The following is an 18,425-nucleotide window of genomic DNA, read 5'->3' on the forward strand; positions in this document are numbered from 1 at the left end:
CAAAAAACAAAAAAGAAAGAAAGAAAGAAAAAAAAAAGAGTGTGTTATAAAGGCGACTTTGGCCTTCCTTCTCCTTCTCACCACGTGATGCCTTCTGCCATGTTATGACACAGCACATAGGCCGATGCCCAATACAGCCCCTTGATCTTGGACTTTCTAGCCTATAGAACTGTGAACCAAACAAACTTCTATTGTTTATAAATTACCCAGTCTTTGTTTGGTATTCTGTCATAACAGCATGGAAATGAACAAAGACAGACGGTTAAAGATGTGGCAACACATTTATTTCCCTAAAGCCCATCAAAGAAATGCAGAAGTTCTAGAAGATGTCCTGGTTTTGGAGACTTAGAGGCTCAGAGAAGAATGAAAGACATACAGGGATCCAAAACTGAGAAAACAAGGCTACAGGATGTAAGAGGTTTGACACTAGAAGGAACATTATAAGGCTAGAGCATCCATTTTAAAATGAGAAAACCCTAGATCAAAGACATAAAGTAAATTGCTTGAAGTCACACAGTTTGTAGGTAGTAAAATAAAAACTTCATGTCCAGTGTTGTCCAGAAGCTCACACATCTTAATGCTACATTTTTACAACAACCTTCTTGGTTAGATAATCAGTTGTGAAGATGGCACAAAATACCAGATCACTTTTATCTCACACAGTTAGTTGTTTTTTTTTTTTTTTTGGTTTTGTTTTTGCAGCCTTCCACCACAGCAAGACTCTAAGAAAGCCTGAAAGTAATTTTGGGCCTTATCTGAGAATGAAGTCAAACGCTCAGTAGCAAAAACGCTAGATTTAGCATGTTAACCAAAACTTTTCAGCAAGTTTATCAGAGCAGCAGCCTGTTGAAAAGGTGATATAATCATCCAAGGTAAACCTTTTGTCCCTCCAAAATACAGTGTAATATAAGTGATACTACAAATCTCTTGGCCTCACCAAATCTCTTAATTACATTCCATTTTGCCTTATCTACTCAGGAGGTACTTCAGGTTAAGCGCTCCTAATATGAAAATCTGAAATCTGAAATGCTCTAAAATTTGGAACTTTTTGAGTTCTGGAATGATGCTCAAAGGAAATGCTCACTGGAGCATTTTGGATTTCGGATTCTCACATTATGGATGCTCAATGCAAATATTCAAAAATCTAAGAAAATATGAAATTTGAAACACTTCTTGTCCCTAGCATTTTTAGTAAGAAATGTTCAACCTGTGAAAGCATTACTCAGCCTCAAAAGCCAAGGGCATTCATCCTTAGCTATGTTATATGAAAGTAGAACTGTGCCAGGAAGTTTTAACAGTACATGGAAAAGAACCAAAGCCATAAGCTTTTATTATGGCTAAGGATGTTATCCACCAAAGCTTCTCTAGGTCCAGCAACCATTTGGGCTTAAAGTATGGAGTCAGAAAGATTTCTCCCCAGAAGATGGGTTTTTCTTTTGTATCAGATCATCAGGCTGCAAATTTTCCAAGCTTTTATGCTGTGCTTTCTCTTGAATGCCTTGCTGCTTAGAAATTCCTTCCGCCAGATACCCGAAATTATCTCTCTCAAGTTCAAAGCTCCACAGATCTCTAGGGCAGAGACAAAATGCTGCCAGTCTCTTTGCTAAAGCAAAGCAAGAGTCACCTTTACTCCAGTTCTCAACAAGTTCTTCATCTCCATCTGAGACCACCTCAACCTGGACTTATTGTCCATATCACTACCAGCATTTTAGTCAAAACCATTCAAAAAGTATCTAGGAAGTTCCAAACTTTCCCACATACTCCTGTCTTCTGAGCCCTCCAAGTCTCTAGGAAGTTCCAAACTTTCCAACATTTTCCTATCTTCTTCTGAGCCCTCCTAACTGTTCCAGCCTCTGCCTGTTACCCAGTTCCAATGTCGCTTCTACATTTTCGGGTATCTTTATAGCAGCACCTCACTCTACCAGTACCAATTTACTGTATTAGTCTGTTCTCATGCTGCTAATAAAGACGTGCCCAAGACTGCGTAATTTATTTTCAAAAAAGAAGTTGAATTGACTCACAGTTCCACATGGCTGGGGAGGCCTCACAATCATGACAGAAGCTGAAGGGGAAGGAAGGCATGTCTTACATGGCAGCAGGCAAGAGAGCATGTGCAGGGAAATTCCCCCTTATAACCATCAGATCTTGTGAGACTTACTCAGTATCATGAAAACAGCACAGGAATGACCTGCTTCCATGATTTAATTACTTCCCTCCCAGGTCCCTTCCATGACACATGAGGATTGTGGAAGCTACAATACAAAATGAGATTTACGTGGGGACAGAACCAAATCATATCAGTGTATCAAAAAGAAAAAGAGTTACTAACTCAGCTTTTGATTTCAGTTCTTTCTATTCAAGGAGAATTAGTATTAAAGTTTACACAACAAAAGAAGTTGAGAGTTATAAATGGTGAACTAATTTAAGAATAATGGATAATTAACATACCTCATATATTTATTATTTGGTTGTGAGAACACTTAAAATCTACTCTCAGGAATTTTCGATGCATATGTCAATTACTTGGATTTAGACATTCCACAATGTGTAAACGTCATCTTGTACATCATAAATATATAAAATTGTTGTCAATTTAAAATAAGTCAGTAAAATAAATAAAAAGAGCAGTAAGAGAGAAATTTTTTTGCAAATATTTTAAATGATATAATTGAAAATATCTACATTCTCATACCAGATTCTATAGTTAATCTGTTGTGAGATTTTTTGGTAGGAATGTATCATACTGATACGTGATGAGAAAAGGGAAAATAACTTTAATAACCTTTCGAGATAATTATGATGTTCTTGGATATTATACCGATACTGGACAGGTTTTAACTTCTTAAAGGTTTTTGCAACACAGAGTCTGAGACCCTATCAATGAACAGTTTGTTCTCTGGTATGTTAAAATCCTTGGTCCAATTCTGCAAAACATACAGACACACACACACACACACACACACACACACACACAAAGAAAGAATAATGAATATTTTTTGGGTGAAAATTCTCCCACTTTTAAGTGTTTATGTGTATGTATGTTTATATAACATATATATGTTATATATATGTATGTATGTTTATAAGGACACAGAATAATGCAAAATATATTTCATACATGAAGTTATGGTTTAAAAATGTTCAATATCCACTGCACTAGGCAAATATTTGCCCATGTACATTGGGAGACAAAAGAATGTCCACAGCATCTCAATTTTAAAAAATTAAAAAATAATTTAAATGTTAATGGAAGTATTAAGGTATAGCAGAGACTATATCATGCATTTTTCAAACCATTTGATTTTCATACTAGGCACATGCCATCTTCTCCATCTAGGTGGAGCCATGTAATTGTGTTCTGTTTAAAATGTGGGAAAAAATAATGGTCAGAAATGCCTTATGCAGTAATCGCCTTCACCTCCTCCTTCTCTTCTCTTCTCTCCTTCTCCTTCTTTTTCCTGTCCCCTCTCCTTCTCCTTTTCTTCCCTCTCCAGCTCTCATCTCTCTCCATCTTTCTGTCTCTCTGTTTCTCGCTCTCCCTCTCACTCTATTTCTCTCTCTCCTATGCACTCACATGCAAACACACCACACTCCTGCTCTCATCCGCATTTCCATTTTGCAATCAAAGACTGCAAAATGTTGAACACACACAATGGAAACGGCCTGCATCCCTAGGTTCTCTGCTGCGAGGATGGACAAGCAGGACAGCTGTCCAACAAGATTTGTCTGCATCAGACATTGTATGGGCAAAAAATAAGCTACTGAATGTTTTAGGATTATTTGTTACTGCAGTTAATCTATCTAATTATACAAATAGATAAATTGTAGTTTAGTCCTACTACAGAATGCTATATAACAGTAAAAATCAATTATTTACAGTTACAATGAAAGTAAATCTCAGATGAATCTAAGCCTAAAAAACAAGTTGAAGAATACATACAATACAACTTCATTTATATATGGTTCAAAATATGCAAAACTAAGCTATGTGTTATTTAATATTCTAACTAATGTGTTAGAACTATAAGGAAGAGCAAGAGAATCATAAACATAAAATTAAGTATAGTGGCTACTTTTGAGCAGTAGTAATGGAAGAGGTTAGGATGCAAGGGCATACTCACAGGGAATCTGGGTTTAATAAAAATGTATTTTTTTCTAAAATGATTGTGAGTTCATGGGCATTTTTTGGTATCTTCTGTCTTTAAACCTTAGCTATATTTGTAATTTTTAAAATTTGTATATCTACTTAGTATTTTAATATTTTTAGATAAGAGTGACTGAAAAACAGTTCAATTATTGCAAAACAGAGAAAAACAAAGTAGTTTCCAGTTAGCAATTTCTCCAAAAGAATTTGGCAAGAAGAAAGATCACTAGGCGGATGTTCTAAAAAACTAGACTATGCAGCCAATAGAAATTGCAACAGAGTTATTCTGGAAAAAGAAAAACATATAAATCAAAGGCCAATTGAAATAATTAATTTAACTTACAGTTTGGCTAAAATTGAAAAATCCATAATCATCTGCGGAACTGATACATGATATTCAAATGGAAGAATTTATAAGCGTAAGTTCACGGAGTTGGAAGTTCTGAACAATATCTGGCTAAAAGGACAGTGGAGATTATTTTTCCATAGGCATTTGAAAAACTGTAGATACAATCATAACATGATATAAGTGAATAATCCTTTACTGATTCTACAGCTGTGATTCTCAATCTTTCCTGCACATTAGAATCATCTAGGGAGTTTTTTTTTTTTTTTTTAAAGTCCCATTGTTCAGTTTGCACCAGACACAAAATAAATCAGAATATCTGGGGACAGGCCCTAGGCAATGGTATTTTTAAAGATCCCCAGATGATTTTATGTTCAGCCAACATTAAGGACCACTGAGCTAGAGCAACTCCTTTATGTCATAGTCAAAAGGTCTGAGGTTGCAAATTGTAGATTGCATCGTATAAGGTCACACAGCTGGTTAATGATTTTCTGTTCTTTTCCCTGTCTTCTGTCTTCAATTTTTAAATGTTGCTGCTTCCTCTATATTTTGTACATTTATTCACAACACTTCAGATTCTTTTAGCCTCAGTTATCTCTTATTCTAACCACTCAGTTTCGCAGATGTGAAATCTGACACCTGAGGTCTAGACCTTGTAGTGCCTACCCTCTTCCCAGGAGCTTCTTTAATGATATGTGGTAGCAGACCCTTTAGAAATGCTCTTGGCACTCGCAACTGTGCAACTTGAAAAGGATGAAGAATTATAATGCTATGGGGTGAACCTATGACTAATGAGTAATGAAAGGCAATGAACTTGCTTTTCACTTTCATTCCCATATACTGGTAGCCTTGAGATGCATTTCATATGCCTCATTAAGCAGACCTGGGAGCTCGAACATCTAGTCACCTATAGCTGTGGGCAACTGCATAATGAATCTTTGTCCTGGCACTCCCTCCTCCCCTGCTAACCTTGTCTCTTTTCCACCTCCTTGAGTCTCACTTTCCAATAAAATATTTGCACTTAATTCTTTGATTCAGTCTCTACTGTCTGGAGAAACCAAGCTAAGACATTACCCTTCTTCTGTTATCTTAATATTAATCTTTCATGGTCAATATACAATTTTCATTGCCCGGACCATGCCTGGATAATTGAGATGCAATGATTATTAAAAACATCATCATCAACTCAAGGTCCTTTATACATATGTTCTTTGGTGCTTTAAGAACCTTCCATATTCATTTTCTAGAGAAGGTGAAGGAGAAAAATGTCTACAAAAAGTAAAATGTTCCAGGAAAAAAATAGCTCATACAGAAAAAAATAAACTGATTAAAACGTGAAAAGAGATTGAGGAGGAGAACAAGATCAAAAGGAACCTGGAATTAGAAATGGAGAGTTGTCCAATAAGTCCTCTCTATCTAAACTACAATCAAAGTAATTCTTCATTTCCCCATAAAGAATGTCATTTCAACTATTATCAATATATTAAATAATCCTCTTTATCTATGCCTCTATCTTTCTGCTAATCAGATTAACATAGATGGCATTTATTCATTCTTTCTATACTCATCCAGTGTTAATTTGGTTCCATTATTGTTCTAGAAACCCAAATAATAAAATTACTTTAGTGGGAGATATTGGTATTGAGTAATTATTGAATTTCCACCTAAGTTCCTAAGTCAATAAGGAGAATCTTACCAAATACTTCTAACTGTAAGTAAATGAGAAATGGAACATTTATTCTTCTAAAGAGTATCATACCCATATATGGCCACTGTATCCTTATTTGTTCCTATTCTTGGATATATTCACACCAACACTTGGCTTTCTGGTCATCATAGAACACACCACCTTTCTTGTTTACATATATTCTATAACTTGCTCCTTAGTAGAGTCTTTATTTTCTCATTCATAAGTCCCCAGGTCTCTTCTGAAATTCAAGGGCTTTTCTTCCCATATTTTTCATTTATTCCACAAATGATCTTTACTACATGAAATATATCTTGTGATACAGTAGATAATATGACAACACATTCTATCTCTTCATTGAGTTTACCTTTTAGTGGAGGTATCAAATAGAAATGAGATAAAGAATACAGATTACCACAAATAGGATGCAATAAATAGTAAATACATAACACACTATTAGAAAGAGTAGTCAGGGAAATCTTGTCTGAGGAGAGAAATGGGATGTAATGGTCTCATGGGGACCTCAGAGGGAAGTTGAGACCTAAAGGATAAGACTGAGTCAGCCAGGCAAATTTCTACCAAAAAAGCATTCTATGCAGAGATAAGTGATCGCAAAGGCCTCCCTGAGATGGATAACGGTTTGATAAATTCCAGGAACAGAATGGGACCAGTATAGCTGGAATATAATGAAAAATCAGTAGAAGAGCATAAAATTAGGTTAGAGAAGACCGGGCACGGTGGCTCATGCATGTAATCCCAGCACTTTAGGAGGCTGAGGCAGGTGGGTCACCTGCAGTCAGGAGTTCGAGATCATCCTGGCCAACATGGTGAAACCCCGTCTCTACTAAAAATACAAAAATTAGTCGGGAGTGGTGGCGGTGCCTATAATCCCAGCTACTAGGGAGGTTGAGACAGGAGAATCGCTTGAATCTGGGAGGCTGAGATTGTAGTGAGCTGAGATCGCACCACTGCACTCCAGCCTGGGCAACAAGAGTGAAACTCCATATCAATAAAAAAAAAAAAATAGGTTGGAGAGAATATAAGTACTAGATACTTCGGAGTTTTGTAAACCAAGATATGGAGTGTGTATTTTATTATAAGAACAATAAAAATCCTTGAAGGATTTTTCAGCTAGGAAAAAAAAAAAAAACTTAGCCTGATTTTCATTTTTGAAGATTTCTCAATTTACTCTATGGAGAAACAAGTTAGGAGGCTGGTATAATCCAGTAAAGAATTGAAGAAGGCATTAAAGAATAAAATGCACATAAAATAAATACATGTCAAAGATGACATTTGATTCATTAATTAATGAAAAAACCAGTAAGATGTTGCAACTAATTAAAAAGAGAATCAAACAACACATGTATATTAACAATCAAAAATGCTTAGATGAATTTCAAATACAGTAGATGCAAAACTGGTCAATTTCCACAGGGCAATAATCAACTGAATTTCTATGAACAAGAATCATTTGCATGACTATAAGTTTTCTACAAATTACAAGATCGCTAAAATAGCTCAAAGATGATGAAAGTCACAAGTAAACAGGAACAGTGTGCTAGACAGGACATCCAGTAATCTTTATTTTTTTTCTTTCAAAGTCTTTTTTAATTTTTCCTGACAGGAGCCTGAATTAGATAGAACACTGATAGAGGACACAGAAAACAGTGCTGAATTACAGATATGTTGCAAAACTTCATTATTAAGATCCAAATCATCCTAGCTTCGATGTAACCATCACAAACTAGAACAAAAAAAGATATTTAATCTAGCATGAGAGCTGTTACTGAGGAACTAAGTGATGTCAGTCCCTTGAGAGAACAGGTGCTTGGTTTTCCTTCCCTTTGATGTCAGCTTTCCGGTGATGCGGTGATGAGACCTGCAGTAGTGTTTGCTTAGTCTTCACAGTCCAGTCAACCCTAGTCCTGTGACTGCTGTGTTAGTGTGATCAGTTCAAACTGTTCTGGTGTTTGCATGGCTGGGCAGCAGATCTCTTGACAGGGCTGCTCAAATTGGTTGCCCATCTTTTCTCTTCCCCACCAAAGTCCTGAAGGCTGAATGAACTGACAGCCCATTGATTGTCAGCTTCTGCTACTCCTTGGCCAAAGAGCCTTATGAAATACATACGGATGTCCATCAGTGTTCCAAACCCTGCAAGACTTGAAGTGCATTTTTGGACCATAGTTCATATGAATTTAGTAATAGCAGCCTGCGCAGCTGTTTTCTTCTGAAATCTTTGTATTACTTTTTCCAAATGTTCTTAACTAATTTTGGAGTCTAGACTAGGAAATGTCAATACTCTCTAATATGCTGCATCTCCACTATTCACAATAGCAAAGACATGGAATCAATCTAAATGCCCATCACTGACTGGATAAAGAAAATATAGTGCATATACACCATGGAATATTATTCAGCCAGAAAAAAATGAGCTCATGTATTTTGCAGAAACATGGATGGAGCTGGAAGCCATTATCCTTGGCAAATTAACATAGGAACAGAAAACCAAATACTGCATGTTCTCACTTACAAGTGGGAGCTAAATGATGAGAACTCATGGAGATAATAAGGGAATCAACAGACACTTGGGCCTACTTGAGGGTGGAAGGTGGGAGGAGAGAGAAGATCAGAAAGAAATAACTATTGGGTAATAGGCTTAGTACTTGGGTGATAAAATTATCTGTACAACAAACCCCCATGATATGAACTTACCTATATGACAAACCTGCACATGCCCCTATGAACCTAAAGTAAAAGTTAAAAAAAAATATGCTGCATCTCTTCACAATGCCTGGGGACATTTAGAGAAGACATTATTCATCAGTTAAGTAGATTAGTGATATGGTACCAAGTTCGCTCAGCTACTACCATGGCATTTCTTAATTTTTAGCTAGCCTCCACCCATGGGCACTTTCTTCCCTATCTATTCTGTTGTTCTTTCTTATCCACTCTCTCCACATATCCTCCTCATTGTGGTCACTGACTCTTACTCCCTGCGTTCTGAGATAATGTATGTGAAAGCACTCAATATTCTAAAATTCTACACCAATGTAAAGTATCAACATTACTATAACTCATATATTTCCAATCTAGTTTTGTGAGTAGGTGGGTGTGTGCAATGTGAGTGAGTGCATGAGTACAGAAGAACAATGCTCAGTTGTCGTGAACAGGCCCCCATCCTGGACTAACATCTCCATTACCCTCCCTACACAGAAAGAGCCTGAACTTATATGAAGATAGGCAAGACTCAGATACACCTAACTAATGACAAGTTTCAGATTTGAGGCTTTTTTTAAGAAGCACAGCAGTAGAAGTCCTTTCCTAGTTAATCTAAGAAGCAGATACAATTTGTTTGTAGTGTCTCACCTTTCCTATCCCCTGACATTTATTTTTCTTTATCATAAAACCCAATGCCCTCTACTATTCTCCAGCAAGTCCCATCTTCCTTATTGGTTAATGCCCCAGTACCATACTAAGTAATGCTTGGTGCTTTCTAATTACCTTTCCCCCAAACTCAAACTCTCGTGAATTTAGGCTATGGAGAAAAATGTTCTATTAATCTGGTCCACCTGAGAATATGACAAGATAATAACAATATCCATATGGGCAATTTCATGTTTAATAATTTGGTAATTGTTATAAATGGGTGATGGCTTTAAAAGTCTAAGAAAAACTTTTAAGAAAGAATGCTTTCTAAAAATCCCTTAATTTTAGAGGTGATGCTTTGACATTCATGAGGCAATCCTTAACCTGGAAAAGGCAAGCAGTGAAATGAGGTGATAAACACTCTAAAAACCAGATGGAATACTGGTCAAATGCTGTGTGGCGGCAAGAAGTGACACATAGCGGCTCTCCGAGCTGCTCTAAGACATCCACTAGAGCCTAGAATCAATCACTTTTCATACTGAATAGACCACAAAAGACAAACCTCATTGATACCAGGGCCATATACTCACAGAAAACATTAATCTAGGACCATATAATATTTTAAAAGGTCTTTTTACAAAAAAACCATATAACATTTTTAAAAGGTCTTTTTGGAAAAAAAGATAAATCCAAATTGCCCTGAAATTAGTTAGAAAGTTAGGAATAGAGACCATAAAATATATTCACTAAGTGGATTTTTTAAAAAACTTTAAAAGCAATTTAGTTTCTTGGTCATAAAACAGAAAAAGAGAGTGAAGCAATCAAACAGGCATGAGGTCAAGAGGTGAAAATACAGGAAAGAAAAGGTAGAGGGTCAAAGAAAAAAGAAAATAGGCCCAAAAGAAACAGTAACAGGGAGAGAAGCATTAAGAGACAAATGCAAATGTGTTTGAAAACACACACAAAGGGAAGAGAATGCCAGGAAAGGCTACACACACTTACCCATACTTACCTGATGTATATATTCTCTCTGTGCAGAGAGAGACAGATTGAAAGCATGGAGGAAAAAAAACACACATAAAGACACACTGTGATGGCTTGGTATTGTGTCGGCTGAGGCTACACTGTGATGGCTAGGTTAAACTACATTTCCAAGATTTCCCTTCCATATGTTTTTCCACTTAGGGTGAGACACAGAGAGAATCTTGTGCAAGATTTGGAGGGTAGAAGTAAAGCAGCAGCTATTTTTGTAGGTCACGTAAATTGTCACTTATCCTCTGGCTTACCTTGTTGGTCTAAGACAGGAGCTCAGCCTACAATTGCTCCACCTTCCATTGAATTCTCCTGATTCTCCACGGGGTGTGTGTGTGTGTGTGTGTGTGTGTGTGTGTGTGTGTGTGTGTGTGTGTGTGTGTATCTTTAGCTCCTTGATGAAGAGCACTGGCTTCTGCAGGAACCCCTTGCCATCAAGGTGAGAGACAGTAAAAACTGATACTTGTGGGTTCCAGTTTGTTCCTACTGTCTCCCACTTTATATGCATTTTCCCTTCTTTTTGTGGACTTCAAGCCTTCACAGCAGATTCAAGGACACAGCTACACAGAGACTACTTAATTAGCTCCCACTTTCATAATTGCATGAGGTCTACTGCCTGGGAAAAATCCCTTGATACAAATACAAGATTGGATGAATGAATGAGTGAATGAACAAATATGGTTCCTTGTGACTCTGCTGTTCTGATTGCATACTGACTGATACAGACACATAAATTAAAAAACCAGGTTTCTAAAAGTTAATGAAACAGTATCTCTAGTGTTTAACCTTTAAGAACTATCCCTGCTAATATAGACCCCTGCTTTTAGCTAATGAAATTCAGTTCAGAGCTAGATTCTCATTCATGTGAGTTTCTCCTAATTGACAGAATTGTTATTTTATCATCCAGAATGTGAAGGGAGAAATATCCTCAGCTAATTAGAATTTTCCAAAGACATGCTTAGACCTTGTCACTACTAACTTTAACTCTAGTTTAACATTAAGAGAAAGTATATGAGAAGGGTATATAAAAAATACATGTTCTAACAGTTCATATGAAATTGAGCATCTCTTAACTTTTCTAATTTTCAGTCTTTGAAGGGTTAGTGAGCCATCCAATCATCATCTTGTTTAAGTCATTCTTATGTAGATATTGATATCATTTGAAATGTACAGAATTTAACTATAATTTACATAATCCCAGGTACTGCTGATCATAAATATTTTGTCTTTATGGTTTTGATTAATAACAGCAATGAAATTCCTAGAGTCATCTAGTGATCATCAAGAGTCTTTATATAATTCATCTTGCATTGACAAATTGTAATTTTACTATGACTGTCTTTGAAGTAAATGCCTACCTACTTCTTGGAAATGTCTTCAACTTTACTGGGAGATAAACAGAATTGAAGTTTGAATCCCTACTTGGCTCAGGCCCATAGAATCTATCGCAGTGCCACCCAACAGAAATATAATATAGGTCACATCTGTCATTTTAAATTTCCTAGTAGCTATATATTTTTTAAAAATTAAAAGGATATCACATTTATTTTCACCATATATAACTCTATACATTTAAAACAGTATTTGAACATAATCAGTATAAAAAATAAAGTTATATTTACAAATTTTTCCATATGAAGTCTTTGAGACTCAGTGTACATTTAAAATTTCTGCACACCTCAATTAAGACTAGACAAATTTAAAGAGCTCAATAATCCCATTTGACTAGTGGTGAATACATTGAACAGTGCAGTTATAGTGAGTCTGTTGGGTGAAGGAAGTGATAAGCCTGAATATGCCTACTAAACTCAGGGAGCAAAAGCACAAGTTAATTATCCACCACAAGAGATTGTGAAATTATATAGGCCAGGAAATTTCCTTGTAAACCCAAGGTTATGTTCCTCTTCACTGAGGGGGGCAGTATTCTAAGTAACCTGGATGAAACCCACTCCACCTTGTTACGGCATATGCAAGACAGAAAACACATTTGGTGTCAAAATAGAATTGTAAGCCCCCGCACAGATTCACTGTAATATTCTCAGCACAAGCCTGCTTTGGGATGTCTCTGACCCCAGAATTCCATGGGGTGATCAGGAGCTGACCCAGCCAAGTTTTTGGAGCTTTGCAAAAAGATCTCTTCTTCCGTCACAAGCAGGCGCAATGCACACTTGGCAGAGAATTATGTGGCTTGCACTGGATATCTTTAGTACCATTGCAGAGGGGTTTCTGGGGAAGTAGGGGGTAGCAACACTGGTGGAAATCAGGATCCAAGGATGGGCAAAGGTCCTAGAAGGCTCATTCCAACCAAATCCAATATGCCACACAGCAGACGTGACTAAAGTTCTGGGGAATGGTGTGAGGAGCAACCAGCTGGAGGTGCAGGAAAGTGAGAGTTTCTTCTTTGGATCTCATTCATGTCAGACTCTAGGTCTCAGGTCCACTCCAGTAACAATGACAACAGCAGCAGTGTTAGTGGTACTGGCCAATCAATGAGCATCTCCTGCCATTAAAAGTTTTTAAAAACGATGTGATGACTACATTTACAATAGCACACACTTACTAGATGTATAACATATGCCAGTTACTCTTCAAAGTGCTTTCATGTACTTTTTATTATATTTTAGATCTGTAAAAGATGAATAATTTTTACCTTCACTTTAAAAATGAGACAACTGAGGCCAGGCGCAGTGGCTCACGTCTCTAATTCTAGCACTTTGGGAGGCCGAGGTGGGTGGATCACGAGGTCAGGAGTTCGAGACCAGCCTGGCCAACATGGTGAAACGCCGTCTCTACTAAAAGTACAAAAATTAGCCGGGTGCAGTGGCACCTGCCTGTAATCCCAGCTACTCAGGAGTCTGGGGCAAGAGAATCACTTGAACCCGGGAGGCAGGGGTTGCAGTGAGCTGAGATCGTGCCACTGCATTCTAGCCTGGGTGACAGAGCAAGACTCTGTCTCAAAAAAAAAAAAAAAAAAAATGAGACAACTGAGATTCCAGAGTAACTTGTTTATTATCACACTGCTAGAAAGTAGAGAATTGAAATAGGAACTTTGTACATAAGATCCCAAAAATATACATTAGACATCAGGAGCAATATAGAAATTGCAAAAGCGTAAAAGACAAAGGGCTTTTCCTTTAGGTAGAAGAAAGGTTGACAGCAGATCTTTTTGTCCAACAGATGGTAGGGTTGTCTTAGACCATTTGGGATGCTATAACAAAATGTCATAATATTGGTAGTTTATAAAAAACATAAATTTATTTTTCAGTTATGAAAGCTGAGGAATCTAATATGAAGGTGCTGGCAGAATCATATTAGATTAGTGAGGACCAACTTCTGGGTTTATAGAAGTCATGTTGCTGCACCATCACATGGTGGAAGGGACAAATGAGCTTCCTTAGGCCTTATATTAATGTACTTGAGCTCTCATGACCTAATCACCTCTTTAAAAGCCCTATCTCCTAATACCATCACCTTGGGGATGAGGATTTCAACATATAAATTGGTGGGATGGAGATGTGCAGGCACAAACACTCAAACTGTAGCAAAGGTGTTAGAAAGTTTTATAGTGATAGAGTTGTAGCTGAGGACTTGACTACCTGACTAGAGCTAATGTTTCCCAGGCCCCTGTTGGGTAGATGTGCCTAAATGACTATGTTCTCAACAATGATATGTGAACAGAAGTAATATGTGTCACTTCTTTTCCGGAACCTTAGAAAAGTAGGAATGCATCTGCTTTCTCTTACTCCTTCCACTGGCTATAACCTGAGCATGTCGGGCACTTAGTTTTAGCCATAGATATGATGAAAATGTCCTGTTTGCTGATGCAGTTATGTCTTAGAAGGAATTTTATTACACCAGTGACTGTGAGGATCAGAGCTGTTCTCCCTTCCTGGACAGCTCGCTTACTGTATTTTATAACTCTATAAGATGAGTATTTCGATCCTCATTTAGAAGATGAGACAACTGAGGTTATAACATAATAGAGAAAAAAGCATCTATAATCTTTTTGTAGGTCTTTCTGTTATTGCAGCTTCTCTAGACCATACAAAACACAGAGGAAGCTGCTACCGTCAAGTTAGGACTATGCACACAAGCATTGCAGAAGGTGGCGTGCCTTCCCTGTCATCCCTATCAGCAACACAGTGAAACCAATATGCAGCATATCTTGCAATAAAGAGAGACCTCAAGGAATTTGAGTGCACAGAATTTTTAAAAACTTTTATCTAGCTTTATATAAGCTAGTGTGACTTAAGAGGAAGAGTACGCTTGTCATAAGTAAATTTTATAATTGCTATCACAAAGAACTATATATAAAATTAGCCAATCTGTATTCCATATTTATAATAATAAATATGGTGAAATATACCAAGCTATATGGGACTATATAGACAAAAAGAAAACTATGCAGAGGCCCATAATCTAATGTTAAGAGACATTTAGCTTCTCAGTTCATGGATTTCCATAGGTGACCAGGGAGAATTTATAGCCATTACTTTTAAACATGCGAACAAATTAAATGTAAAATGATATGAACAGCTTTGGAAAGAAATAAACTCCGTACTAAAGATAGTTAAGTGGAGTCATATAGTAGTCAACTAGTGCTAACCAGGGCCAGGTAACAAATGACACTGAAGTTCTCACTAGTCAAAAACAAGTAGAATTCATTTATCATTCATTGGTATAAAGACAAGCTGTGGCTCAGCTAGGATCATCCACTGGGGTCCAATTTGCAGCCTGGGTTCAAGTTGACTCTGTATGTCTCCTCACTGACTTTGGCACAGCCAGCTAGCTTGGACATGCTCTCCTCATGCAAACACAAAAGCACAAGAGAGCGAGTGGGAACGCATGCTGCCCCTGAAGATGTTGAAACTTCTGCTAACGCCGCCTTGGTTAAAGCAGCTCCTATGGCCAAACCCAACACCAAGGGACAGATAATCCTGCTGTGGCTGCCAATTCACATGGTGAAGCCACGAATGGATCATTATGTAAGATTGGAAGTGAAGACTTGAAACCAATAATAACCCAATTCCTCGCTGGTTGGAGTGGAAATTTAGTTCTAATTATAAGTCTTACATACTTTCCACTAAGTCCTATTGCCCTGAAATTTATTTTGTTTTTTCATATATGAATTCTTAGTATAAACGATATTCTTATGAAGTAAGTATCACTGATTCCATATGAGAGATGAGGAGCCTGAGGCTCGTAAAGTTTGAATAACTCAGAAAATGTCAGACATTAAACAGCGGCAGAACTGAAGTTCATATTAGGTCTTTTTGAATTCATACTCTTTAAAATGTGAAAGAATTAAATAATTTTACATAACTTTATAATGCATGCCCAAAGGACTTTCATTGCATGAACTACTCAGAAAGCCTTAATTCAGCATCTACTGTGTGAGGGGCACCACAGCAAGCCCTCAAAAAAACACATTTATAAACATATAATATTTAACTTGAGCTTCATGTCCAGGTTAACTAAACAACATGCTTAGTCAGTTTGAATTACTCATGTCTTGCTTGATGAACAATGAGCTATTTTACAGCATTATAATAATTCCTAGTCACACACAGCGCAACTCCTTTTGGTCACTGGTATTTGTTTTGGCTTTACTTGCATCTCCCATTTCAAAACATGTTTTTTCCTCAAGAATCAATTGTTTATTTATTTTTGCTCATAAGGACTCACACATATACCAGAGAGGTATCCCTGTTACAAAGATTTACTAACTAGATTTTTCTTTAAGACACACATTTCCTTTAGGTGAGCATGAATTCAACATTTGATCCAGCATGCTTGTTTGGTTATACTTCCAATTTAAAAAAATAACCTGCCACAATATTTTTTCTACTGTGTTTATTTTAAATAATTCTTAGCTGAATTCACACAATTCATGCTGTAAATGTCAGGTGACTAAAATGGAATATTATTTGAAAATAGTTATCATAATGTTTGTGAATGGAGAAATGAACAGAGACCTTAGTATTAATAAAAATGTTGTGATGCTTTGGATAAGTTAGATAAAGAGACAGGTTTGATATTTATTTGAATTATGTAACTCAAGGAAAAGATGTCAAAAATCAATAAAAGTACTATTTTGACAAGCATGATGATAATTTGAATCATTTATAATTGCTCCATTATAATGGAGTACAAGGTTGGAAGATCGCCATTCATATTTTGTGAATGTAGGGCATGTTAAACCCCCTCCGACGTGTTCTACCAACCAATTGGATGCCACCAATTGATATGGTGATATTTTATTTCTCCTAAACTTCATTTTTTAGAATTTTCGGCCTGGTGCTGTGGCTCACACCTGTAATCCCAGCACTTTGGGAGGCAGAGGCAGGTGGATCACGAGGTCAGGAGTTCAAAACCAGCCTGTCCAAGATGGTGAAACGCTGTCTCTACTAAAAATACAAAAATTAGCTGGGCGTGGTGGCAGGCGCCTGTAATCTCAGCTACTCAGGAGGCTGAGGCAGGAATTGCTTGAATCCGGGAGGCGGAGGTTGCAGCGAGCTGAGATCATGCCGCTGCACTCCAGCCTGGGCGACAGAGCGAGACTCTGTTTCCAGAAAAAACAAACAAACAAACAAAAAAAAAAAAACTACACAACAAAAAAAGAATAAAAAAGAAAATAAAATTTTCTTTTAAAGCAATTTCTACAGTATGTGCTCCTCTCATTAAAAACAATTTACCAAGTGCGTCTTCTACATCAACTACTCTACTAGGTGGTTTCCATTCATTAGAATCATACATAAATCCACTCAGTGATTCCCACTTTTTTTTTTTTTTTTTTTTTGAGACGGAATCTCGCTCTGTCGCCCAGGCTGGAGTGCAGTGGCGCGATCTCGGCTCACTGCAAGCTCTGCCTCCCGGGTTCACGCCATTCTCCTGCCTCAGCCTCCCGAGTAGCTGGGACTACAGGTGCCCGCCACCGAGCCTGACTAATTTTTTGTATTTTTAGTAGAGACGGGGTTTCACTGTGTTAGCCAGGATGGTCTCAATCTCCTGACCTCGTGATCCGCCCGCCTCAGCCTCCTAAAGTGCTGGGATTACAGGCCTGAGCCACCGTGCCCGGCCAGTGATTCCCACTTTTAATAAAGTAACCAGCTTTGAATGTTTATGAATTTCTAATGCTAACACAATTTTAAAAGAGACTATATATAACATAAACAGACAAGCAAAGCTGATTATTTCATATATAATAATATTTAAAGCTCTTAAGAGGGTAAGAGAAAAGGTACAAGTAACAACGTTGACAGAAAAGTAACCTTAAAACAAATAATTCATATTAAATTCTCTTTTGCCTGGTATATTTCAGACCTATCAAAATAATTGACACTAAATCCTTTAGGTAATGGATAATTTTGAATGGTGATAATGCTACCTGCACTTATAGAATTCTAATTGCTTTATTTTGTTAATATTTATTTACTTATGTATTTATTATACTGTAGTTATTTACTTTATCAATTTATTTATTGTAATTTACCTAGTCACTGGCATCCTTGGCTGACAACAAATAAATGTATGTATTTTAGCAGCAGTATTAGCTTCATTAAAAATTTAGGTAACTTGATTTACTTGTGAATTTAACCTGCCAGGTAAGTTTCCTATTAAGTGAAATTACAATATATGTTGTTATCTTTAGAAATAATCTATAGAATGTGTTCATGAAAGGACATGGATAATTTTGTAAAGCAAATCAATAAAAGTAGATAGTTTTGCTAAAATTTAAGTGAAACTCAATTATTTGTGAGTTATCATGCGCTCAAATTATAAAAGCACACTTACCATCTCAATGTTGAAAAGCTAATTGGATATGATATGGCTCCAACAGAAGCCAATCC

General features: G+C 36.9%; 1 annotated feature.

Moving 5' to 3' along the window:
• Nucleotides 7,706-8,708: an enhancer, noted in NCBI's record as "amplified fragment containing the chr5:40033325-40034325 (GRCh37) CAGE-defined region". NCBI's record gives its function as "transcribed enhancer in B cells {active_cell/tissue: B cell}" and the evidence as "EXISTENCE:reporter gene assay evidence [ECO:0000049][PMID:24670763]".

The sequence above is a fragment of the Homo sapiens genome, chromosome 5 (genome assembly GCF_000001405.40).
Source record: "Homo sapiens chromosome 5, GRCh38.p14 Primary Assembly".
NCBI classification, from domain to species: Eukaryota; Metazoa; Chordata; class Mammalia; order Primates; family Hominidae; genus Homo; species Homo sapiens.